Here is a 27,254-nt window from a genome sequence, read left to right on the forward strand (position 1 = left end):
GTAGGGAATTTATATTCTTAAGTTTTAAATCGGCTTAAACTTTTCCTTCTATTGATCAGCAGGATTCTTTATTTATTTCGTGCTACAAAGTTGTGAGATAGATAGGAGATTATGCCAGATTGTGCTCCTGTAATGTATGCTCCTTTTTAAAAGTAGAACTTAAAGTTAGACATGAAAATGACTTTTCAATGTGACATTTACTGTTTCTAATTTTAGTTGTTTAGTCTTACCTACCTAGCTTTATTCATTCCTAAAAATTTAATCTAAATTTTTGGTAATATTGCCACCAAGTGGTGATGATGCCTCATTCCCCAACAAATACAATTATTTTGCTTTGAGTGAAAACCATATTTGACTAATGAATTTTTCGATTAATATCAAAAACTTAATCGGCAGACCTAAAAACATACATTGCCCATGTCTTTTTAAAAGCATGTTTTAAGTTATCAGGATATAATTTCATCCTTATTCATTAGTCCTTTTCATCCTTTATTCTTTTAGGGAAGAATACAGCTGTCTTCTTCTTTGTTAGCACTTTGCCAATTGAGAAGTATCCCAGTGTTACATAAAAAGCCTTTCTCTTAGCAGTATTAGTTCATGAGCTACCACTAAGTTTTGCAAGCCATTTTCTAAAATGGTCATTTAAAATACTATGTTTTCTTATGAAACAAGTTTACATTTAAAATTTAAAAGGCAGTAACAAAGTTTCACTTCGTTCAATGTAAAACTTTAGCTCCGCCTTCAAAACACTATGGTTATATTACTTATTTAAATGTGGCCTGCACATTACTTCTCGGCCTTTTGGCTAAGATCAGGTGTAGTTAAGATCAAGTTTAGTATCTGTTCTCATCAGTAAATGTGGCCTATGTTGCAAATTCAAAACGTTATTTCTAAAATTTTGCTGTATCAAATAAACTACATCTCAAATTTGACAGGCATGCCAACCCATACCCATTTTGTTTTATTTTCTCTCCTAACCACAGCACAAATAATGACTTCTTAAATTGGTTACAACTAGCAATAATATTAGGTAGATGGTTCAAGAAAGAGACTTTCAAGAATAATGATGGGACTTCTTAAAAATGATCTTAACATTTTATTGCTGTCTATACTTATCATATATGTAGTGCAAATAATGGCTTCTGATGGTTATAAAGCATTCCTGAATTATAGACTACGGCTATACACTTGACATACCTGCTTTATATAACATACAGTAATATTTAGACCTAATACAGAAATTCAGCTACTAGGAAAATTCTAATATACTGTATATAAAAAAGCTCTCTTCTTAGTTTCCCAGGGAAGACTAGCACAGTCTTAACTAATGATTAGTGAAATAATACAACCACAAATAGTAATAGGAGCTTGAGAAAAATATTTCTTTAAAAATGAATCACACACAAACACCTACCATTATACATACATTATAATCAGGCACAATTTTTCAACTGTGTTCAGTTATATGCTAAGAATGTGCATTACAAAGTTTAGCAAAATTAGTGAAAAGGGAAGCAAGTTCACCTTAGTGTTACACTTTTTCTTCAATTAACTAGTAAACAGTTCAAGTTCTCACAAGCAATACAACACCTTTTTTATTTTTCACAGTTATTGAAATCAGTCAAATATTAAATAATTTAATTCGGAAGTATTATTTATGCACACAAACTACACCTGTAACAGCATGACCTTTTACCTGAAAAATAAAGGATGAAATATTACATTTATTTATTTACATATTGCCCATAATACTGATAGGCTTTTTTTTTAATGCTTTGTTTTCTAAAACTTGTATTGTTTTTAAACAAAAATAGATTTGAAAAGAATGAACCACAACAGTGCTACCAAAAAGTCACATCTTGTTACCAGACATCACTGTCCTTACAACAATTCAACTAATAAGATTTAAGATTTAACTTCATCCTAATGTATCAGAACATTAAAAAAAAAAAAGTCTCAATGTACCTATTTAAATAAATCGTGCTTCCATAATAATATTCTTTAAAAATGAAAAACAGTAAAGAGCACACATTTTTATTTACTCACAACACTGAATAATTAATGTAAACTTTTTGAATTTTTTTTTTCTTTAGACATTTTTCCTCTAGAGTAACTTTTCAAGGCCTTCTCATGAACAGCCTTAAGTTTTATTGTCAAAATAAATGCACTTATTTTGGGAAACAGTTTGAAGTAAGTAATAAGCATTTGCCACTGTACTTACAACTTCTCTTGAAGTTCGCTTTCTATTTAGGTCACTAGCTTTTAAATAAAGCCAACCCTGGTTCTGCGTTACTTACTACATTTTACCTATAGTCATTCCCACAAAGGATGCAATATTATATTAGAAAGAAATATTACTTTAAATTTGTTGAAAAATAGAAGGACCAATTTAGAGCTCTGACCTAGGTTCAGTCCTGGAAATGGGTCTTTCATAAATTCAGATCCAATTACTTCCACAGTTTTATTACTGTTCAGTTTATTACTAACCTGACAAGCCTAATTGGGTAACATTTCACTCCCTCATTGTGTTTTATACAAAATGCTGTAGGAGAAAGTTAATAAAACACTATATAAAGTATTAATTTTCTGTACCTTATAGTTCTTAGCATTAAAGGTGTTCTGTTAACTCTGAACATAAACATAAAGTAATCCTATTATCCAAATATGTAGTTTGGATTCTATTTCATTAAGCAACTGTCATTTCTACTACTAAATGCTGCCAACATTCAGTGAAAAGGCAGGTTAAAAGAAGCAGCTATACTTCACTTGCTTCACACAGAGGTCTCATTAGGCACTCAATTGGCTATTCTTTTTTCACTGAAAGAATAAACCTTCACTTACCCTTTCTCTGTGACTACCTCTTTCCCAGTATATTGGTCACATATTATCTGAAAAACTTAAATAACAAATATACTTTTTAAAAGAATGTATATTCAATAAGTTTCTATTTAATTCAATCTAATCTGCTCAATTAGAAATTTAATTCTGCCACAAAATTTTTTTAAAGCAAAGTACTGAATTCCCAATCCAAGATTCCTTTATATATATATATATATATATGCATCCTAAATTACCATCTTTTGAGATGTATAATTTCTTAAAACATACTATGTGCAAAGTTACTTTTAACCACAAAACTTCAAACAACTGCTGCCTTTAAAATCAAGCAACATCCAATACTCCAGCAGCTACAAGTTGCCGTGAGAGCCAGTCCAACCCTTCATACAGTCCCATACCACTTCGAGCATCACAGCCCTGAATATACCAGCTACGGCCACAGCATAATTTATGGAGACTGAGTAGTTCAGTGATTTCTTCTACTGACAGTGCTCCAGCAACATCCTGAAAGATATATACACATATTTTTTATCAGTCCATCCAAATTATAATTTTTCTAATTATCACCATTTATAGAGAAATTTGTTGACAGTGTTCTAACAGAAGCCTAAACAAAAAACCTAGATTCATCTTTCAGTAATTATTCTGAGATTAATAAGAATAGAAAAAATTAGTTTGGTTTAACTAATTTATATGTGTGTGTATGTATATACTTTGTAAGGCTAGCTTAACAATGAAATCAATAAAGTCCTTGCAACCTAAAAGGAAACATACTGCCTAAGTAATTTTTTTATCTTTTGAGACAGAGTCTCACTCTGTCACCCAGACTGGAGTGCAGTGACATGATCTTGGCTCACTGCAACTTCTGCCTCCTGGTTCAAGCGATTCTCCTGCTTTGGCCTCCCAAGTAGCTGGGATTACAGGCATGTGCTACCATGCCCGGCTAATTTTTTTGTATTTTTAGTAGAGATGAGGTTTCACCATGTTAGTCAGGCTGGTCTCGAACTCCTGACCTCAAGTGATCCACCAACCTCAGCCTCCCAAAATGCAAGGATTGCAGGCATGAGCCACCACGCCTGGCCTGCCTAAGTGTAAGGCATCAACTTAAAAAAAAAAAATTAACACATAGAAACCTTAATAAATGGTTTATATATAGGGTTATATATTGAAGAGTTCACTACATTCCCACTCTGAACACCCATTGCCCCAACTTCCCAGGAGCAACCACCAGTTACAACATATTTTTCCAGAAAATTTCCATGCACACTCATGCAAAGAGACACAAACAGGAACATAGTTTAGACTTTCTATAACTTGCAGGGTTTTCTGTTTGTTTTTTACGTAAACATGTTGAAGATGAGTATCTTTCCATTATCAGCACAGATGGTCTGCATTATTTTTAATATCAGAATTCCCTTCCATTGTGTGGCTGCAACATAATTTAACCAGTCCTATACTGAATGTTCAGATTGAAGTTTTATGCTTATGTGCTATTATAAATCCATATATATACACATACATACATAAACATACATACACAAAAGTTGACATACATTTATGTATATTTGCAAAATTATCTGTAGGATAACCTTTGGATATCTGTCTACCAGATATATAAAGGTAGAATTGCAGGGTAAGGGACTTTGATGAGTATTGCCAAATTGTCCTCCAAGAAAATGTCTCAGTTTAATAACCCACGAACAGTGTTGACCAGGCGCAGTGACTCACACCTGTAATCCCAGCACTTTGGGAGGATGAGGCGGGCAGATCACTTGAGGTCAGGAGTTTGAGACCAGCCTGACCAACACGATGAAACCCTGAATCTACTAAAAATACAAAAGTTAGCCGGGTGTGGTAGCAAGCACCTGTAATCCCAGCTACTTGGGAGGCTGAGGCAGAAGAATCGCTTGAACCTAGGAGGGGGAGGTTGCAGTGAGCAGAGGTTGTGCCACTGCACTCCAGCCTGGTGACAGAGCAAGACTCAGTCTCAAAATAATAATAGTAACAGTTGTATATAAGTCTGAGGATTATAAAACACTTTCATCTTTAACTATCTGATGAGCAGAAAATGGTATTTCACTGACTTATTTGCATGTCTTAAATATACCAGTTCTTAATAGTTTGCCTTTTTTATTAAGGGGAAAATTCTTTATTCTTCATCCTACTCTTCCCCTCCCATGACATCTCCTCTGCTCCACTTCTACTCTCCTTCTGCCTCTACTTAAAAGCATCTCATCCTCCTAGAAAGGCTCAAGGTCTAGGAATCTTCAGCTACTCCCAGTCCTTCATCCTCCCCATTCAGTCACCAGTTCTGCCTCAAAGTCTTTTCCATCTGCCTCCGCCTTTCTATTCCTCTAATTCAGGCTCTTGTTAATGCTCACTTGAATTATTTAAGCAATTTACTGCATCTCCCTGTCTCCAGTCCTTTGCCCTGATTCATTCTACCCCTAGAATTATAGTATTGAAACACTGATATGATCTTATTACCCACTAATCCAACATTTTGATGACTCCTCCTTGCTCATAGAATAAAACCTAAATTTCTCAGTCTAGCACTGTCAGACCTTTACAGCATGGCCTTGTCTGTTATTCTAAATTCTCTTCATCCTCTACTGAGACCTGACATATAGATCTGCTTGATGTTCCCTAAACTAAAAACATTCATGCTATTATCTTCTCTGTCTATAATGTTCTTCCTTTCACATACTGACTCAGCCTCATGCATAATTTCAACTCAAATTCTACATTTTACAATCTTACAACATGCCACATTTAGAACTACTTTCCTAATTCCCGTAACACTGTGTTACTTAAGTTACTTATCAGTCTTCTTCGTATTCAGATCTCTTATGTGTTCATATGCATACACAGGAGTTTCTGGTGAGCATTAACTACCTTATTTCTATTTTGTATACTCCCAGGTACCCAGCACAGCATTTTCACATAGATTGTACTCAAAATACACAGAAGAAACTATAAATATCTATTGAACTGATTGTCTTCTGAAATATTTCCAGTTGCCTTTTGACATGCACAAAACTACTAAAATAAATATTCCAATATAAAAATGCATTACCTGTTTGTTAGCAAAAATCAGGAGCAGAGCATCTCGGAGTTCTTTTTCCGTTAACAACTTTGCAAGTTCGCTGTGTGCTTCACTAATTCTGTCTCTATGACTGCTATCTACAACAAACACAACAGCTACCCAAAAAAAAATAAAAAAAACAAAAATAGTCACTTGCTAAAGTTCAGTAAATGAACCAAATATTTAATGATATCATTATTATGTTATGGTTAGAGTTTGTCTACCATCATTATTTTCACACAGAGGGTGCCTAGTATGGCAGGGGCACCTACAAATAATTAACAGTATGATTTCAAGTAGTTTACATAACTTCTCAGGTTTAGTTTCCCCATCTAGGAAAGGATTTACAACACTTGCTCTATCAAATGCAAATTGGTCTGTATATCAAATAACTTTTTACATAACGAATTTCAAAATATGCCTCATGATCCTCTACCTATGGATGCTACTTGTTCTTCGAATACTACTTTTCTAATATTTAGTCTTTGAATAAAAGACTAAAAGATAAAAACCATCACCATTTTTATTTCTCCAAAGTATTATGTCTAAGTTAACTATCTCCAGACTTTCAACCATTCCTCATATTCAAAATTTCATTTTTGTAGGGCACAGTGGCTCACACCTATAATCCCAGCACTTTGGGAGGCTGAGGTGAGAGGATCACTTGAGCCCAGGAGTTCGAGACCCCTGGGCAATATAGTGAGACCTTATCTCTATTAAAAAAAAATTAAAAATTAGCTGAATGTGGCCGGGCGCGGTGGCTCGTGCCTCTAATCCCAGCACTTTGGGAGGCCAAGACGGGCGGATCACGAGGTCAGGAGATGGAGACCATCCTGGCTAACATGGTGAAACCCCGTCTCTACTAAAAATACAAAAAAATTAGCCAGGCATGGTGGTGGGCACCTGTAGTCCCAGCTACTCAGGAGGCTGAGGCAGGAGAATGGCGTGAACCTGGGAGGCGGAGCTTGCAGTGAGCCGAGATCGCACCACTGCACTCCATCCTGGGCGACAGAGCAAGACTCGATCTCAAAAAAAAAAAAAAAAAAAAATTAGCTGAATGTGGTGGCATATACCTAGTCCTAACTACTTGGGAAGTTAAGGTGGGAAGATTGCTTGAGCCCAGGAGACAGAGGTGACCATGAAATGCAATCATGCCACTGTACTCCTGCCTGGGCAACAAAGCAAGATTCTGTCTCAAAAAAAAAATACATTTTTTCTATTAATTATGGCTCATAATAATATCAAAAATCCCAAAGTAAAAATAATTATTCAGTCTCTCATCTTGGTGGAAAGCAGAATAACATACAGAATAAGCGGCATGAGCGTAAGCATTATGTTGGGGTCTATGAGGCAGAAGTGTAGAGTAAGACCCAAATGTGACTAAAACCTATGTAGAGTATAGATATGATATAATACGGTTTGGTCAAAAGCAAGCTACTGTAAGTTCTTCTGCAGGTAATAACTATTTGTGAAAGAAATGTGGGAGTGGGGCTATAGTGAGATTATAATGGGATAAATGTTGAGTTTAACTGAATTCAGCAGAATCATACAACATAAATTCAACTCTATACCACTACGCTACCAGCAGTCACACCCATATAATACTGGTAATATACACTCTCTGTTAAGAGAAGCAAGAGTACTCTTAACTGACTACATATCTAAGCTACGTATGGTTTTTATTCTGTAATAATGGTATATCAGGAATAAACTAAAAGTATATATCCTAATCTTTCTACTTTCATTTTTTACAAGTTAAGAAACTGGCCACAGGTACTTAAGTATACAGTCAACGACTTAATCATAAGTATCAGCTTTGCTAGTTAAATCAGTACACTGAAAACTGTCATCCTAAAAATGTGAAAAATTAAATGTCATTTTTAACTCTCACCTTGAGTATTGAGGTAATAATGTTTCCACAATGGTCTTAATTTGTGTTTTCCACCTACATCCCAAATAGTGAATTTTAGATTTTTATATTCTACAGTTTCCACGTTAAAACCTGTTTTAAAAAAAAAGTTACTTTTATACTATATTTGTATTTACAATGAATGACATATCAAACACAGACAACCCCCAGTTTATAACTGTGACTTATCAAATTATCTACATGCAGCAATATCTACTGAAGCCTAATCAACCCCATTCCTACTCCTACGTGGTGAATGTATACCTGTAACAGCTCCTAGCCCTCTAAACCTCCACCAAGGTCCTTAGGACCTTGGGATCCATGTACCTTCCAGCTCTGTTCCACAACTACCCCCCACCCCACACCCTCAGCCAGGATCACCAATCCTCTATTCCTTCCAACTGTCCCACCAATACTCTGTTTCTTCTTTTTATCCCCATCCACATTTCAATCCCATAGTCATACAATCTTGCATTTTTTCTCTGAGATGCTGATATCTTAGAGCCAGAAAAGAGCCCACCACCATGACAGATCAGTATCAAATAAGACCCCAAGAACTTGGCTGTAAGCTAGGGTTTGTCTATTAAGGTAAAAACCAATATTCATACTTACCAATTGTTGGAATGGGCTGCATGAATTCATCCTGTTTTAACTTAAACAAGATAGTAGTTTTTCCAGCACCATCCAATCCTAACGTAACGACCCGAATTTCCATTTTTGGTCCAATGTGAACTCGATTATCCTACAATTTAAATATTTTTAAATATGTTTGACATGCAGTTAGAAAGTAATAGCATTTAGCACCTTTATTATTTCTACATCTCCTATTCATTCCTCAACCATTGCAATCTGAATTGTATTCCTCAAAATACTGAGTCTGATCTCAAGAAGATGAAATCCTTCCCCATGGCTAAATCTTGCCTTAGTAAAACTGACCACTTTGTCTTTGTATAACAGAATATACATACCCACTTAATTTTCTCAGATTTTCTAACTCAAATGAATCCTCTAAATCTTAAACATGTTTTTATGCTATACTAAAAAAATCACAATAAGGGTAAATCAATTAAAATGAAAAAGTGCTGCTCAATTCCCAGAAATTTCTACTATGAATCTGATGTATATCCCTCCAGACACTTTCCATGCACATACTGGCCAACATACACAAACAAAACAAATTTTTTTTTAAAAAAGTATTACCCACACATTGAAACTAATGTGTTTCACTCAACAGTATATTATGGAATCCTGTCAATACATATTGACCAACCTTTTTCTTTTAATGGCTTCTTTACATTTCATAAACCACAATTTAACTAAACCCCCAACTGATAGATTTTAGGTAATTTCTGATTTTATGATATTACAAATAATGCTATAATGAACATTTTTATATATTACTAGCTGCATGATTTCTCTGCTTCACTTCTTTCATCTCATAAAAGGAGGATTAAAATAGTACAAAATTTACATAGGATTCTTGAAAGGATTAATTTTTAAGAATACATATAAAAGTCCTTACAACAGTTCCCAAAATATATGTGTTATTTTTGCTTACTCCTTTGAGCACTCTTTGCTTGGATTTTATGATACAAACTTTTCCTGGTTTGGTTTTATCCCATTTTTGGATGTTCCTTCTAATTTTTCTTTAATCCAGCTCTTAAATGTTGGTATTCTTGAGGGTCTATATGAGGCCTCCTTCTCATTCTACATATTTTCATTCTCTTCATGAGCTTTAATTACCATGTATATTATGGCTCCAAATCTATACTTAAGTCCAGTTATACACCTCAGAAATAAAACAATATATGGAACAGAACTACTTCTGTGAGAACTCTAGAGAACAGTTAAGAAACTACAGCACCCAGGCCATAAAACCAAGAAGGCATTCCAGTGAAAGGGGTAATAAAATTTGGGGCATTCTGTGCACTCATCCCTGCCCTTCCCCATATCCAACATAGTGAGGATGAGGTGCAACCAGGAGGAAACTACAAAATACTAGCAAACTGAATTCAACAACACATTAGGCCGGGCGTGGTGGCTCATGCCTGTAATCCCAGCACTTCGGGAGGCCGAGGTTGGGGGTGGATCACCTGAGGTTAGGAGTTCGAGACCAGCCTGACCAACATAGAGAAACCCCGTCTCTACTAAAAATACAAAATTACCCAGGCATGGTGGCGCACGCCTGTAATCTCAGCTACAAGGAGGCTGAGGCAGAAGAATCGCTTGAACCCGGAAGGTGGAGAATGCAGTGAGCCGAGATCGCGCCATTGCACTCCAGCCTGGGCAACAAGAGCGAAACTCCGCCTCAAAAAAAAAAAAAACACATATTAAAGGGATTGTACGCCATGACCAAATGGGCTTTATAACTGGAAGGCAAGAATTATTCATCATCAATCAGCATAATACACAGAATGAGAGAAAAAAAGCACGTAATCATCTCAATAGTTGCAGAAAAAGCATTTAACAAAATTCAATACCCTTTCATAATAAAAACATTCAACAAACTAGGAGTAGCAGGAAACTGCCTCAGTTAACATACACCATATAAGAAATGCCCACAGCTAACATCATACTCAAAAAACTGAAAGCTTTTTCTCTAAGATAAAGAACAAGAAGATGCCCACAGAGCAATTAGGCAAGAAGAATAATAAAAGACATCCAAATTGTAAAGGAAGATGTAAAATTATATCTCTTCACAGATGACATGATCTTGTATGTAGAAAACCCTGAAGAGTCCACACAAAAAGACCTATTAGAATAAAGTCAACAAAGTTTCAGGATATAAAATCAACATGAAAATCAGTTGCATTTCTATACATTAATGATAAAAATCCCAAAAGGAAATTAAGGAAACAATTCTACTTAAAATAGCATCAAAATTATACTTTCAGGGATCATTTTTATAGTTTATGACTAAAGAAGTTTCTCTGAACATGTACAGAAAAAAAAGTTTAAGATACTTAGGAATAAACTCAACCAAGATGGTGAAAGACTTAAGATACTATGTTGGTGCAAAAGCAACTGCGGCTTTTGCCAGTACTTTTAATGGCAAAAACCACTATTACTTTTGCACCAACCTAATATGTAGGCGTACACCTAACCAAGATGGTGAAAGACTTGTACACTAAAAACTACAAATATTGCTAAAATAAATTAAGACATAAATAGACATTCCATGTCCATGGATTGAAAGACATAAAATATTAAGATATGAATAACAGCCCAGGTAATTTATATAGATTCAATGCAATCCCTATCAAAATCCCAATCATGTTTTTTGTGGAGATAGAAAAAATTAAGCTAAAATTTATAAGGAAGCTCAAGTGACCCTGAATAGCCAAAACAATTTTGAAAAAGAAAAAAGTTGGAGGACTCACACTTCCTTACTTCAAAATATATTACAAAGCTAATGTATTGTTCTGTTTTTGCACTGCTATAAAGAAATACCTGAGACTGGGTAATTTATAAAGAAAAGTTTAATTGGCTCACAGTTCCACAGGCAGTACAGGAAGCATGATGCTGGCATCAGCTTGGCTTCAGGGAAAGCCTCAGGAAACTTACAATCATGGTGGAAAGCAAAGAGGGAGTGAGGCATTTCACATGGCAGGAGCAGGAGCAAGAGAGAGGGTGGGGGAGGTGCCACACACTTTTAAACGACCAGATCTCATGAGAACTCACCTATTATGGCAAAGACAGTACCAAGGGGGATGATACTAAACCATTCATGAGAAACTGCCCCCATGATCCAGTCACCTCCAACCAGGCCCCATTTCAACATTGGGGATTACAACTGGAAATGAGATTTGGGCAGGAACATAGATCCAAGCCATATCAGCTACAATAATGAAAACTATGTGGTACTGGCATAAAGATGAGACATACAAACCAACAGAACAGAAGAGAGAGCCCAGAAATAAACCCTCAGGAATAGGGTCACATGATCTTCAACAAGGGTGCAGGACCACTCAATGAAAAGACAGTCTCTTCAATAAATGATGCTGGGGAAACTGGATATCTACATGCAAAAGGATGTTATGTATCTTACACCACCTAAAAAAATTAACTCAAAATGGCCATAAACTTAAGACCCCAAACCATAAAACTCCTAGAAGAAAAAACAGAGGAAAAGCCTCATGACATTGCATTTGAGAGTGACTTCAGGGATACACGAAAAGCACAGTAAAAAAAAAAAAAAAAAAGCAAAAATAGACTACATCAAATTTACAATTTTTGTGCATAAAATGACAAAATCAACAGAGTGAAAAATTGACCTATGAAATGGGAGAAAATATTTGAAAGTCACAGATCTGATAGGGAATTAATATCCAGAATATACAAAGAACTCCTACAATTCAACAACAAAAATAGTCAACCCAATCAAAAAGTGAGCGAAGGACAGAAATAGACATATTCAAGGCAATATACAGATGGCCAACAATTATATGAAAAGATGGTTAATGGCACTAGTCATCAGAGATATGGATATCAAAACAAATAAGGTATCATTTCAAACCAATCAGGATGGCTACTATCCAAAAACAGAAAATAACAAGTGTTGGTGAAAATGTGGAGAAACTGCACCCTTGTGCACCACTGGTGGAACTGTAATATGGTGCAACCATTATGGAAAACAGTATGGGGATTCCTCAAAAAATTAAAAACAGAACTACTATATGATCTACCAACTTCACTTCTGGGTATATATCCAAAAGACCATGAAAGCAGGGTCTTGAAGAGATATTTGTACACTCACGTACACAGCAGCACTATTCCCAGTAAACCAAGAGGTGGAAGCTACCCAAGTTTCCATCAACAGATGAATGAACAAACAAAATGTGGTATACACATTGTATTAGTCCATTTTCATGCTGCTGATAAAGACATACCCAAGACTGGGAAGAAAAAGAGGTTTAATTAGACTTACAGTTCCACATGGCTGGGGAAGCCTCAGAATCATGACAGGAGGCAAAAAGCACTTCTTACATGGCAGCAGCAAGAGAAAAATGAGGAAGAAGCAAAAGCGGAAACCCCTGATAAACCCATCAGATCTCGTGAGACTTAATCACTATCACAAGAATAGCACAGGAAAGACCAGCTCCCATGATTCAATTACCTCACCCTGGGTCCCTCCCTAACACATGGGAATTCTGAGAGATACAATTCAAGTTGAGATTTGGGTGGGGGCACACCCAAAATCTCAAGCATATCATTCTGCCCCTCGCCCCTCCAAACCCTGCCCTTACAGCAAACTTCTGCCTAGGCTTCCAGGTGTTTCCATACATCTTCTGAAATCTAAGCAGAGGTTCCCAAACCTCTATTCTTGACTTCTGTGCACCCACAGGCTCAACACCACATGGAAGCTGCCAAGGCTTGGGGATTCCACCCTCTGAAGCCACAGCCCGAGCTCTACATTGGCCCCTTTCAGCCACAGCTGGAGCAGCTGGGACTCAGGGCATCAAGTCCCCAGGCTGCACACAGCATGGGGACCCTGGGCCCAGCCCATGAAACCACTTTTTCCTCCTGGACCTCCAGGCCTGTGATGGGAGGGGCTGCCATGAAGGTCTCTGACATGGCCTAGAGACATTTTCCCCTTGGTCTTAGGTATTAACATTAGGTTCCTTGCTACTTATGCAAATTTCTGCAGCCAGCTTGAATTTTTCCCCAGAAGATGGGTTTTTCTTCTCCATTGCACAATCAGGATGCAAATTTTTCAAACTTTTACGCTCTGCTTCCCTTATAAAACTGAAGGCCTTTAACAGAACCCAAGTCACCTCTTGAATGCTTTGCTGCTTAGCAATTTCTTCCACCAGATACCCTAAATCACCTCTCTCAAGTTTGAAGTTCCACAAATGTCTAGGCAAATGCCACCAGTCTCTTTGCTAAAACAGTAACAAGAGTCACCTTCGTTCCAGTTCCCAAAAAGTTCCTCGTCTCCCTCTGAGACCACCTCAGCCTGGATTTCGCCATCCATATCATTATCAGTATTTTTGTCAAAGTCATTCAACGAGTCTCTAGGAAGTTCCAAACTTTCTCACACTTTCCTGTCTTCTTCTTAGCCCTCCAAACTGTTCCACCCTCTACCTGTTACCCAGTTCCAAAGTTGCCTGCACATTTTTGGGTATCCTTTCAGCATCGCCTCACTCTACTGGTACCAATTTACTGTATTAGTCCATTTTCACGCTGCTGATAAGGACATACCCGAAACTGGGAACAAAAAGAGGTTTAATTGGACTTACAGTTCCACATGGCTAGGGAGGCCTCAGAATCATGGCAGGGGGCAAAAGGTACTTCTTACATGGTGGTGGCAAGAGAAAAATGAGGAAGAAGCAAAAGCAGAAACCCCTAATAAGCCCATTAGCTCTCATGAGACTTATTCACTATCACAAGAATAGCATGGGACAGACCGGCCCCCATTATTCAATTACCTCCCCCTGGGTCCCTCCCAAAACGTGGGAATTCTGGGAGATACAATTCAAATTGAGATTTGGGTGGGGACACAGCCAAACCATATCACACATGCAATGGAATATTATTCAGCTTTAAAATGGAAGAAAATCCTTTCACATGCTACAATATGGATGAATTTTGATGACAGGCCAAGTGGAATAAGCCAGCCACAAAAAGGCAAATACTGTATGATTCCACTTATATGAGGTATCTAGTCAAATTCATAAGGGAAAAATACAATAGTGGTTACCAGGGACCGATGAGAGGGGGCAGAGGGGAACTGTTTAAAGGGTATAGAGTTTCAGTTCTACAAAATGAAAAATTTCTGGATATCTGTTTAACAATGTGAATATACTTAACAGTACTGAATTGTACATTTTTAAATGGTTGAGATAGCAAATTTTTTATTATGTGTTTTTTACTACGATAAATAAATGTGGCATATCCTCACAATGAAGTACCTTGCAGCTGGAAAAAGGAACAAAAAATGTCACTTTCTACTGCTACAGAGTGATGTTTAGGATGTACAGCTAAGTAAAAAGAGCAGGAAAAAAAAAGTGTGTAAGGTATTCCACCTTTTAAATCCAAGTGGTGTGCATACAAATATATAAACATATGTCTCTATACTTTTTAAAATGATGACTAAAACTAAGAAAAAATTCTAAATGATTTTCTATGGGGAATGAAGTAAAAAGGGTAGAAGGACCAGGCATAAAAGCTAGATTTCTCTGAATAAACCTTGCTTTGAACATTTGACTCTGGATCACATAAACATTTCACATAATTGTGAAAACATAATTAAATTAAAAAAAAACCAGCCCCTAAAAATGGAAAGCAAAATGGTACACATGAACACTTTTTAATCAGGGAGAACCCACTTTAAAAGAGGTTTAAATATATCAACCAAATCCCAAGTATGAAACTTTGCTTGGATTGTATCTAAAATAAAGCAACCATTAAAAAAATTGTTTTGAAAACAATCTGAGAAATTTGAATACTAACAAGTTGATAATATTAGTGAAAATATTAGAGATTCATTATTAAACTTTTTTGGTGTAATAATGATATTTTGGCTTTTTTTTTTTAAGTGACGGGAATTTCACTGTATTTCCCAGGCTGGTCTTGAAGTCTTGGGCTCAAGCCATCCTCTCACCTCAGCCTCCTGAGTAACTGGGACTATAAGGTATGCCACCATGCCCAATTATGTTTGTTTTGTTTTGTTTTTGAGGCAGGGTTTTGCTCTTGTTACCCAGGCTGAAGTGCAGTGGCGTGATCTCAGCTCACTGTAACCTCTGCCTCCTGGTTTCAAGTGATTATCCTGCCTCAGCCTCCCAAGTAGCTGGGATTATAGGCATGCACCACTATGCCAAAAATTTTTGTACTTTTAGTAGAGATGGGGTTTCTCCATGTTGGTCAGGCTGGTCTCAAACTCCTGAACTCAGGTGATCCACCCGCCTCGGCCTCCCAAAGTGCTGTTATTACAGGTGTGAGCCACCGCACCCGGCCCCAATTATGTTTTTAAAAAGAGTCCTTATCTTTTGGAGATACACCCTAAAATATTTCATAGATGAAATAAGATATTGGGATGAAATAATATGATATTAGGATTTGCTTCAAAATACCCTGGGAGATTGCAGGTAGGAAAAGGAGTAGGTAAAAGGGGAGATGAAATAAGTTTATAATTGCTCAAGTGGGTGATGGATACAGGAAGATTCATTATATATACCATATATATACCATTTATATTTTCTTATTTTTACTTTTTTAAATTTAAAAATATGGCACACTTCACAAATTTGTGTGTCATCCTTGCACAGGGGCCATGCTAATCTTCTTATTCCAATTTTAGTATATGTGCTGCCGAAGTGAGCACACCATTTCTATTTTCCACTGATAAAAGTTTTCTTAAAAAGCCCCTAATTCATGAATTTCATGGTTGTCTCTTTAAGGTGATTATCATGAAACGTAAATCAATTATGATTTGTCAGAAAAAATACCTAAAAATAAAGTACAGTACATTACCTTTGTAAAAGTGACAGGGATGCTGGCATCCAACTGAATGTGATCTGCAACTTCTGTAAACTGCTGCTGCTGTTTCTGCAATGTTTCCAGTAACCTTGTAATTTCCTGTTTTGCCAAGACAACTCTACAATCATCCTATAAGAGGCAAAACAATATTTCTTATAAACTTTTTATAAGAAATAAGGAAAAGAGACTTATATTACCAACTCACAATAAAAGCAGTTTTAACATTATAGTAGTCAAAGTTAAATGTAAATTTGACAAAAATAATAATTGAGCATTAATAAATAATTTAAGGACTTAGCAACGAAAGAATGGATAAATTGTAGCATATAGATAAATGGAACACTACATCACAGTGAGAATAAACCATAGCTACACGTGATGATAGAAATTTCACAAACATAATGTGGAGTATAAGAAGACATGGCATGGAGAATTCATACTGTATGATTTCATTTAATTACCAAAACAACCAAAATTAAGATATACATTAGAAGTCAAGATAGTGGTTTATCATGGTGGGAAAGGCAGGTAGTGGCCAGAAGTGAGTATGAGGGAACTACTGGGGTACTGACAATGTTCTGGTACTTGATCTGAGTGCTAGTTACACATTAATGATCAGTCTGAAAATTCAGCCAACTGAATACTTATGCATACATTTCTATATCTATGTTCTATGTCTATAAAAAGTTTAAAAATTAATTTCAGATATACATGTATTCGTTAAAAAAAATAAAGAATACAGGTCCACTCCTCAAAGTCAAGAACTTTCCAGTTTCTTGAATATTATTCCAGACTATCTATACATATACCAACATAGTCTTTATATGAAAGAGATCTCCCAATAATATGCAAGCTCCATGAGAACGGTAGTATTATCTGTTTTTGCTCACTGTTAGATACTCATGTTAGTTGACAGCAATTCCACTGTTTCAGTTGTTCAGGACAAACGCTGAAGTCATTATTGCTTTCTCTTTCCCGCATGCCCTACGTACAATCTGTTAACAAATCCTTTTGAACATCCAGAATCTGGGCACTTCTAATCCCCATTATCCAAGCCACTATTACCTCTCACCTGGAATTCTACAACTGCTGCTTAACTGTTGAATTCCTTCCTTCCATTTTTGCCTTCTTTCAATCTATTTTAGACACATAGGCCAGAAAAATCCTTTTAACATATAAGATTAAGTCACTCTTCTACTCAAAACTCTACAATGGTCCTATCCCAATCAGTAAAAGTTGAAGTCCACCCAAGGATGGTGGCTCACACCTGTAGTCCCAGCACTTTGGGAGGCCAAGGCAGATGGATCACTCGAGCCCAGGAGTTTTAGACCAGTCTGGGCAACATGGCGAAACTCTGTCTCTACGAAAAATACAAAAAAAGTAGCTGGATGTGGTGGCTTGCCCCTGTAGTCCAGGCTACTCAGGAGGCTGAAGCAGGAGGAACACTTGAGCCCAGGAGGCAGAAGGTATAGTGAGACGAGACTGTATCACTGCACTCTAGCTAGCCTGGGAGCAAGACCCTGTCCCCAACCCACTCCTCCCGCCCCCGGCCAAAAAAAAAAAAAAAACAATTGAAGTCCTTATAATGCCTCACAGGGCCTTCCTTACATATAATTCTCTATTAACCTCTGATTTCAGCTCCTATTACTCTGTCCTTCGCTTATTCTACTCCAGTCAAGAGGCCTATTTTCCTGTTCCTCAAACATACCAGGCATGCTGCCCTAGGGTTTTTGCTATAACATTTCCTCAACTACAATGTTCTTCTCCCAGTTACGGCCTGAACGAATTCCTTCAACTTTTTACTTGAATCTTTGCTCAAATCTCACCTTCCCTCAATAATGCTTACCCTGACTACTCTACTTATTAATGCAATCTGCTGTACAAACATAAACATGTAGTTGCAGAATTCTTTTTTGATTAGCTCTCAGAACTTTCTAACATATAGTATAATTAACTTACTTAGATATGGTTATGGTTTATTGCCTGTCTTCTTGCTAGAATGCTAATTTCACAAGATTATGGCTTTTTGCTTATTGTGTTCACTGATATATTTTAAATACATGGCATATGTTAGCTACTCAATACATATTTGCTAAATGAATAAATATTCAGCATCCAGTATCATGCCAAGAACTTTAGATGATGCATAATTTGTTTAGAGTGGATGGATGATTAAATTATGTTCTCAGAAGTGAAGATCAATTTGTGATGTTCCATCCATTCCTCTGTTCAATTTTCTCTGTAGTGGGAACTTTAAAGAACATTGGTTAGTATTCTGTAGTTATAAAATAGAACAAAACTAATAGGTCCATATGAAAAATGAATCCAAGACCTTGATTTTTTTGCATTAACATAGATAATACTGTATCATTAAAAATTACCAGTTGATATGGTTTGGCTCCGTGTCCTCACCCAAATCTCATCTCGAATTGTAATCCCCACATGTCAAGGGAGGGACATGATTGGATTATTGGGGCAGTTTCCCTCATGCTGTTCTCATGATAGTGATTAATCATGACATCTGATGGTTTTAAAGTGTGGCACCTCTCCTTTGCTCTCTCTTTCTCTCCTGCCGTCCTGTAAACAAGGTGCTTGCTTCCCCTTCGCCTTCCCCCATGATTGTCTAACTTTCCTGAAGCCTCCCCAGCCATGCAAACCTGTAAATTAAGCCCCTTTCCTTTATAAATTACCCAGTCTCAGGTAGTATCTGTAAAGCAGTGTGAAAATGGACTAATATACCAGTCATTTTGGCACAACACTTCAGAAACTCTAAAATACTTAAATATTTCAGTAACTATGAACAAACTTTTTCATAAAATAAATATGAAAATACTTTTAAGTGTTCAAGTAAATATGATTTAGGACATGACTCCACTCTGATTTTGCTATGTAGCTTCATTATCCGCCATGAGTTAAACATGTATTTATTAAGCTCTTTCTATCTAGATGCAAAGAATTTAGTGACACAAAGATGAACAAGATGCATCAAAGATGAACAAGGTCAGCATCTAAAACACATAGGCATATTGTGTCATTCAAGGTCAAATCGGAAGACACAAATCACACCATTACTTGAATAGAAAGAACTTAAAATAAAAACTGTTAACTAGGTGTAGTTATTAACTAGGTAGCTAAAAGGTTAAAAGGAACTCTGAGGTATTAAGGAGGTAGCAATTGTATGAAATAACATAGCTACCACTTCCAGTGCTAAAGGAATAAAAGGAAGAAGTTAGAATTATTAAAACTTAGAAACTTGCAGGAGTGGCTCATGGAGCTGAAACTCAAACCTCCGAGAAGGGTGGTCTCCTCACATGAGTAACTATGCCCCCTCTTGACAGTACCTAACATGGGCCCAGCTGGCAACACAATTATGAGGTCTGTAGAGTTCTAGCCCTAGTATCACAAAATAGAGGATAGAAGAGTAGGTTTGGAGCTGAAAATCAACTTAATAAATAGCATACATATCAACTGTTACAATTCAGTGTGGTAAGGACTAAATGATAACCCAAGACTGATGAGGCTATAGACTGGCCACTCTCATGTAAGTGTAATCACATATTTAAGAGAAAAAGCTCTACAATGGTACAAGGCTTAGCCTACAATGATTTGAAATCAACACAATTATTAGCAATATATCAGTGAAGATAACACAGACTGCAGCTTTTCTGAAATTCCTAGGGCAATAGTTATTCTTATACCTCACACTTATGAAAACAGATCCAAAACACAAATGGGTAAAGCTGACATTTGTGTTAGAATAACTGAATCTCATTTATTTAAAAAAGTAAGTCATCTGCAAACTGGGTAACAAATTTCTTATGGTATCTCAACCATCACAAAACATACGTTTGCTCTAACAGTGAAGAACCACTGAATTATAGCAGACGTAGGCAGTACATGGTAGAGAGGCACTCAAAAAAAGACCAACAAATAGAAAGCTTCAAAGAAAGGCAAATATTTAAGCTGGACCTTGAAGGAGAAGGAAGATTTCCACTATTAGAAAAGAGAGATATATGCACTCCAAGCAGAAAAAAAAAAAAAACTACATATATGCTTGGCAAAGAAGAGTAAAAGGATTTGGCATAACTGAAGAATGGCAAGAAGTTAGAAGGCCTCAAGAACCCATGGCTTATGGTGGGAAAGGCACGTGAACGACACTGATAATTCCATACTAGTGAAATAATTCAAGGTTGCAGACCATTTCCTAAGCACAAAGTTACTGCATACAGCAGACACAAAATATTAATAAAACACACTAATGTATACCTCTGGTAATTATCTACTTAAACTTACAACTAAGTCCCTAACCACATTTAAACTACCTACCTGCTGCAAAGTCTTTTCACAGTGGAGGCAGGCTGCAGAAACCTCTGACAACAAAATAGTCATATCTTCTTGTTGCTGCCTGAGCCAAATCAATTTTTCACGAACATGAGCATCAACAACACTTAGAGCCATTTCTTCTTGACGACACAGAGTTTCATGTAGATCATAAAAATAAGCTCGAATACATGACCGGGCATTCTCTGCAGTCCCTGGTACCTAAGAAAATGAAAATAAATTTTAAGCAACTGTAATGTTAATAAAGATTTTACCTGTGAAATATTTAAAATTTCAGCCTAGGCAACATGGCAAAACTCTGTCTCTACAAAAAATGGAAAAAATTAGCCAGCCGTGGTGGCATGTGCCTGTAGTCCCAGCTACTCAGGAGGCTGAGGCGGGAGGATTGATTGAGCCCCAGAAGTCAAGGCTGCAGTGAGTGGTGATCACAACACTGCATGCCAGCCTGGGTGACCGAGCGAGACATTGTTTAAATACCATCTATATTAAATTCCAAAATATAAATCTCCATGCTAGATCTTTCCCCTAATGCACAGACATTGGAAATTCAACTGTTTATAAATGACATCTCAAGCAAAATGGAATGCCTAATCTCCAGTCTCCCCTATTCCCAAACCTAATTGCCTCTGTCTTGGTAAATGGCAACTCCATCCTTCAGGATGTTGAAGCAAAAACAACCGGAGTCATCATTATCAGCTCTCTTTCATAGCCCACTAGTCCCTCAGCAAATTCTGCTGACTTCAAAATACACCCAAAATCTGATCATGCCTCATCACCTCTAAGTTACCTATCCAATCAATATTAACAATTAATCACTAAGACCTATCTATTCTACTTATTTAAAATCTCAAATCCATTGACTTGTGTCCACTCTCACTACCCTAGTGTATTATAGGCCATAAACATCTCTAGTATTTTAACTAGAAAACTTTAACAACATCCTAATAGGTCTGCCTGCTTCCAATTTTGTTGCTCCTCCAATTCATTTTCTACATTTAAAACAACCTTTCTTGAGGAAAATCTGATTATATCATTCCTAAGTCAATTCTTCAATGGCTCATCACTGTCCTTAAACTAAGTTCTGAACTCTTTAACATGGCTGACAAGATCCTGCATGATTTGGCTTTGAACTCTCCATATCCTCTTTTCTTGTCATGTCCCATTCAATACTTAAAGCTCTAACTACAGTGAGCTTCTTTAAGTCTCTACAATATGTACAATCCTCACTTACAAACATTTTAACATATTGTTCCCTTCTTGGGACAACTCATTCCCCGTTCTGCTCTTTTCCCTGACTGAAATTCTTCAAATCTCAGTTTAAACACCATTTCTTCTATAAGGACTTCTCTGACCTCCATAAATCATTGTCCCTGTTTTGTGATGCCAAAGCACCCTGTACTTCTCCTCCATAAAATAGTTACCATATTTCAAACTCTCTCTTTTCCATGATGAATGAGTTCCTGAAAGACAGGGACTTTTAAAAAACTTTCTAATGATTGGTGCAATACTGGCAAATTGTAATTGCCCATTAATTACTTAGTAGAAGGTGAAAATATGAAAAATAAAAAAGAATGAGAAAGTGAAGAAGAAAAAAAATCCATACATGTTCTGTGTGAGCCATTCCAATTCCATCTTCCACGATTTGTTCTCCTCCTTCAATGTGCTGCACAATTCCAACTAATTTTCTGGAATAATCTGAGATTTCCTCTGTGAAGGTCCGTATGCAGTGAGCCATATCTAAAATTGATGCTCGGATCTGATTAGCTTCTGGTTCCAATACTGAATGCTATAAAATGTACCATAATTAGAGAAAAGAACTCATAGTATTGACTAATAATATAAAAAACTATTTAAATCCCTATTAATACAAAAAAGCATCAGCCACAAGTGACTTTTATGACACAGAAAAATACTAATTTACTTTCACTCCTTTATAAGAAAACTGTACTGCAAAGAAGTAATTTAAAATTTGGAAGTCCGTTTATTGCTAAACAAAAAACCAAGAGACTATCTCTAAAATCATATCCTAAGTAAGAGCTAACAGACATAAATATTGTCAAAACAATCTGGTGCATTATGAAAACATGCAAGCAAACAGAATGTTTGTTTCCTGCTCGAAAGCTATTTTTTTGTGAAGAATCATGATGCCTCTTTGAAGTTTTTTTTTTTTTATAACATTCAGAAATTAAATCTCTCATTTATTTTCATGCTACCAAACCCAATCACTCATCACTTAACTCTTCTTCAATCCCTACTTTCAGAATAAAGAACCAGGTCAGTGAAAACGAATACTGAGCTGGTAAAGTAGCTACAGTGATCCAACTGATTAATAATTAAATTCATACCTTGTGACCCTGGTGTTTTCCATATTCTTTGCAGACACAGCACATGAGTGGGCTAGTTTGACAACCTTCTTCCAAGCAAACAAACTCAATGGCATGCACCTGGTGCTGAGAGCACATAGTTTTCTCATGAGGTTTATCAGCTAGAGGAACTCGCCTGTGCTTTGCTAATGTCTTTGTAGAATGAGTAACTTGAGAACACTCAGAGCACAAATGAGTTGCACACACAGTGCAATATACAGAGGCAAGGTGAGCTTCATCTTCATCACAACGAATGATGCTCTGATAAACAAAAAATTAATGCCTTAAAATTGAACCCAATCAGTATAACATGACGAATTTTTAAATATAGAATCCATAATCCTTTTTGCTTAACTGAACAATATTTACATATGAAAATATATTGGTCATTAAGAACAAAGGTCATTCAATACTCATCTGAGAAGCATTCATTTCTAGGGGTAAGAAGCTATTTCCAAGATTAACTGGCCAATATATGTTATGAATTTGAAGCCAAAAATAGAACTATTCTCATAGATTCATATTCGGTGCAAAGATCTCTTCCACCAAATCCCCTCACTTTACACAAAAGAAACTAAACCATAGAGAAGTCAAAAGTCTTTCTGTAAAACTACAAAAATCTGATATTAAATACATCCCCATAGCTTTAAATATTAGTTGTCATGATGATGTATAGGAAGGACAGAAGCACAAATGCTATTTAGAAAATGTAGGAGTATGCATCAGAATTAGCTGTAAGCTTTTAAAAACATAGCTGTCTGGAAGAGAAATTCTTATTTCAACAGGTTGTGGATGAACCCTAGACTTGTATATATTTTTCTAATTATACGCCATGTTATTTTAATAGCTCCACAGGTGAGTCTATTGCACAATCACGGCAGAAAACCACTGATTTAAGCAAATAAAAAAAAAAATAGGCCAGGCTCAGTGGCTAACATCTGTAATCCCAGCACTTTAAGAAGGCTGAGGCAGGTGATCACTTGAGGCCAGGAGTAAGAGACCAGCCTGGCCAACATGGGGAAAGTCCATCTCTACTAAACATCCAAAAATTAGTCAGGTGTGGTGGTACATGCCTCTAATACCAGCTACTCAGGTAGCTGAGGCACGAGAATCACTTGAAGCCAGGAAGTGGAGGCTGCAGGGAACTGAGATCACGCCACTGCACTCCAGCAAGGGTGACAGAGTGAGACTCTGTCTTAAAAAATAACAATAAACAAATAAATAAAACCTATATGTAAGCATGTAAATATTATTTCTAGTTTTCAGGAATTACAAAAAATAACTAATTATGAAATAATTACTTTTATTTCAAGTAGATAAAAAATTACATGTCAGATAATCAAGAATGTTTTGAACACTTTTACTCAATATTAAAAGGCCATAATTGGAAGGGGAGAAATTTAGTATAAATTTTTTCAAAAATAAAAATGTTTAAATACATCAATGGTGTCATTCTTTATCACATTAAATAAAAAATGAATCCAAAGTGGAAGAGTTTTGTTTGCAATTATGAGAAATAAACACATGTACCATAAAAATTCAGGTCTTCTGTTTCCCAGACCTGACAAATAAATAAATTATAAACTATAATGTCAACATTAGCTAACAGTAATGTCTTTTGAAATAAAGATTAAAGATTTAGCACAGAAAGAACTGCATAACTTTTAGAAAACAGAGTGTTGCAGTTTGAAATTCATTTCACTGATTCACTTTAGTATAAAGAAATCATCATCTAATGAAAGAGAAGTGAAAGCAATCCGACATTTTTTTTCCTTCATACAAAATATGTGGTTTGCAAGTTGATCACCAAAATCATTAACTGATATTTACTCCAAATATATTTTTACCCATAACAGCCTACGAAAGCCATGTCCTATAGTACATATGTGCAGCTATGCAAACACATAAGTGCTAAAAATATACTTTTACATTATTAAAATCCAGTGTTCATGGATTCTGATATTTACTAGACATCTACCTGTATGGATAAAGACAGTACATCTATACAAAGTTTAACCTTTTCTTGAAGCTATAACAGTAACAATTCCCTCAGAAGTTACTGCTATCTTTAAGGCATTTTCCCCTCTGTATTAAATGGCCTCTTACATCGAGTTTTTCTTTCTCTCATTGAGTTTTACTGTTGACTACTTTTGCATCCTCTTCTCTACTGTTGCTTACATATCTTTCTTACTATTCCATAATCTTCTTCCTCTTTTCACTTTATTCTTGGTAGAACTGAATTATGATAAGGAAAAAAAAGTTCACACATAAAGCATAGTTTAGGCATAGGATTTTCAAATAATTCTAGTTTTTTCTCTTGGGAATAGTGTTGGCCTTCAGAACTGTAATGTAATGAAAAGTTGTGTTTCTAGAAATTTACCTGCTGAAATAAATGAAGTAATATTGTGCTAATAATGGCATCTATTAAAAGAAAAATTCATGCTCGTAACAAATATTTCACCAAGTATGATCAATACCTCTCCAGATATCCCAATGGATTCTTCTGCAGCTCCATACTGACCAATAGGCCCATTCTGCAGTCGTTCCAAAAGCTCCAATAAAGCAAAATTTTTTTTCAATCCCCAGACACCTGAATCACCTAGAATAAATATAAAAACAAAAACTAAATCTAACAAAATGGACTATTAATCATTTTACCCATACCTCAAAAGTAATTTCTAATATAGTTCAGTAGTTAATGTCTAAATTTTTAAAATTCAAATTTTCCCCATTTTTAATACCAAAATAATTGCTTTGTTAATGCTCTCTTAAAAAACAGAAGAATCCTTCAGCCTTCCAAGTAGAAACACACTTTAAAATTTATTATTTTTTGGCCAGGTGCTTTGGCCCACGCCTGTAATCCCAGCAGTTTGGGAGGCTGAGGCGGACAGATCACTTAAGGCCAGGAGTTCAAGACCAGCCCAGTCAACATGGTGAAATCCCGTCTCTACTAAAAATACAAAAATTAGCCAGGTGTGGCGTCAGGCGCCCATAATCCCAGCCACTCAGGAGGCTGAGGGACGAGAATTGCTTGAACCCGGGAGGTGGAGGTTGCAGTGAGCCAAGATCACACCACTGCACTCCAATCTGGATGACAGAGCAAGACTCTATCTCAAAAAAAAAAAAAAAAAATCTAAATACACATAAAAAAAATTATGGTGGTAAAGGCTGCACAACAATATGAATGTACTTAATGTCCCTAAACTTAGAAATGGTTAAAACGGCAAATTTTATGTTATACATATATTTTGCCACAGTTTAAAAAAATTATTTAAATCTCTTTTACTTTTTTTTTGAGACAGAGTCTTGCTATGTTGCCCAGGCTGGTGTGCAGTAGCGTGATCTCTGCTCATTGCAATCTCCACCTTCCGGGTTCAAGTGATCCTCGTGCCCCAGCCTCCCAAGTGGCTGGGACTACAGGTGTGTGCCACTATGCCCAGCTGATTTTTTTGTATATTTTGGTAGAGATGGGGTTTCGCCATGCTGGTCAGGCCGGTCTCAAAACTCCTGGCCTAAAGTGATCTGACTGCCTCAGCCTCCCAAAGTGCTGGGATTACAGGTGTGAGCCACCGTGCCCAGCCTATTTCTCTATCATTTAATTTTACAAGTCCTATTTTGTCATTGACTTTTACTATACATGCTAAAACAAGCATTTTCAAATACTTTTTGCAGCAACCTACCTTAAGAAATACATATAACATTGTAACCCAGGACAACATACACACTCTTCCTGAACCTATGAATAAAAGTCAGATCCTTTAGCAGAAGGAATATTTGTTATGGTAAACTCCTATGCAACAAATAACATCTGATATAGCTGCCACCTAATACATATTCATTAAATGAATAAATATATAAAAGGTTGATGGAGTCATTGCCTGCAGGGCCCCCCTTCCTCCTGGCTCTTAAAAAAAAAAAAGCCATTCTGTGTTGTGGTTCTCCCAAAAAAACTGGACTGAACATATCTATCCTCAGCCTTGCCCCTAGAAGGCTTTCTCCTTAATTTTTAACACATATTCTACAACAAGCTGAGTTCTATCTATTTACATAAAGGTTAAGAAGTACACTAAGTGATCATTTAAAAATATAGTCTTGACAATTTTCTAAATATCCAGTCACTATATAATGAATATATACAAATAAACCTCTAGCATTATTACTAGGTAGTGCCTAATATTTATATCACTTAATTCTGTGTCAAAACAACTCTATAATCTCAATGGCTTAACACAACAAAGAT

General features: G+C 36.3%; 1 protein-coding gene and 1 pseudogene across 5 annotated transcripts in view; both read right to left on the reverse strand.

The window, feature by feature from the left end:
- Window positions 1-1,083: 1,083 nt before the first annotated feature.
- Window positions 1,084-27,254, reverse strand: part of TRIM23 (tripartite motif containing 23) — a 34,644-nt gene continuing 8,473 nt past the window's right edge. The window contains exons 3-13 of one of the 5 annotated variants that reach the window (NM_033228.3): window positions 25,492-25,613; window positions 22,997-23,275; window positions 22,255-22,437; window positions 20,637-20,852; window positions 16,305-16,439; window positions 8,445-8,574; window positions 7,815-7,925; window positions 5,915-6,039; window positions 3,266-3,342; window positions 2,842-2,896; window positions 1,084-1,696 (exon numbers count right to left, since the gene is read on the reverse strand). In NM_033228.3, the coding sequence (NP_150231.1) occupies window positions 2,878-2,896; window positions 3,266-3,342; window positions 5,915-6,039; window positions 7,815-7,925; window positions 8,445-8,574; window positions 16,305-16,439; window positions 20,637-20,852; window positions 22,255-22,437; window positions 22,997-23,275; window positions 25,492-25,613 (1,397 nt within the window). In that variant the 3' untranslated portion in view covers window positions 1,084-1,696; window positions 2,842-2,877. Of the gene's footprint in view, window positions 3,343-5,914; window positions 6,040-7,814; window positions 7,926-8,444; window positions 8,575-16,304; window positions 16,440-20,636; window positions 20,853-22,254; window positions 22,438-22,996; window positions 23,276-25,120; window positions 25,250-25,491; window positions 25,614-27,254 lie in introns of those variants that run through there. The other 4 variants (NM_033227.3, XM_017009444.3, XM_047417155.1 and 1 more) reach the window with 4 other exon arrangements.
- On the reverse strand, window positions 16,056-16,155 carry RNU6-540P (RNA, U6 small nuclear 540, pseudogene; annotated as a pseudogene).

Source organism: Homo sapiens, chromosome 5 (assembly GCF_000001405.40).
Source record: "Homo sapiens chromosome 5, GRCh38.p14 Primary Assembly".
In the NCBI taxonomy this organism is placed as follows: Eukaryota; Metazoa; Chordata; class Mammalia; order Primates; family Hominidae; genus Homo; species Homo sapiens.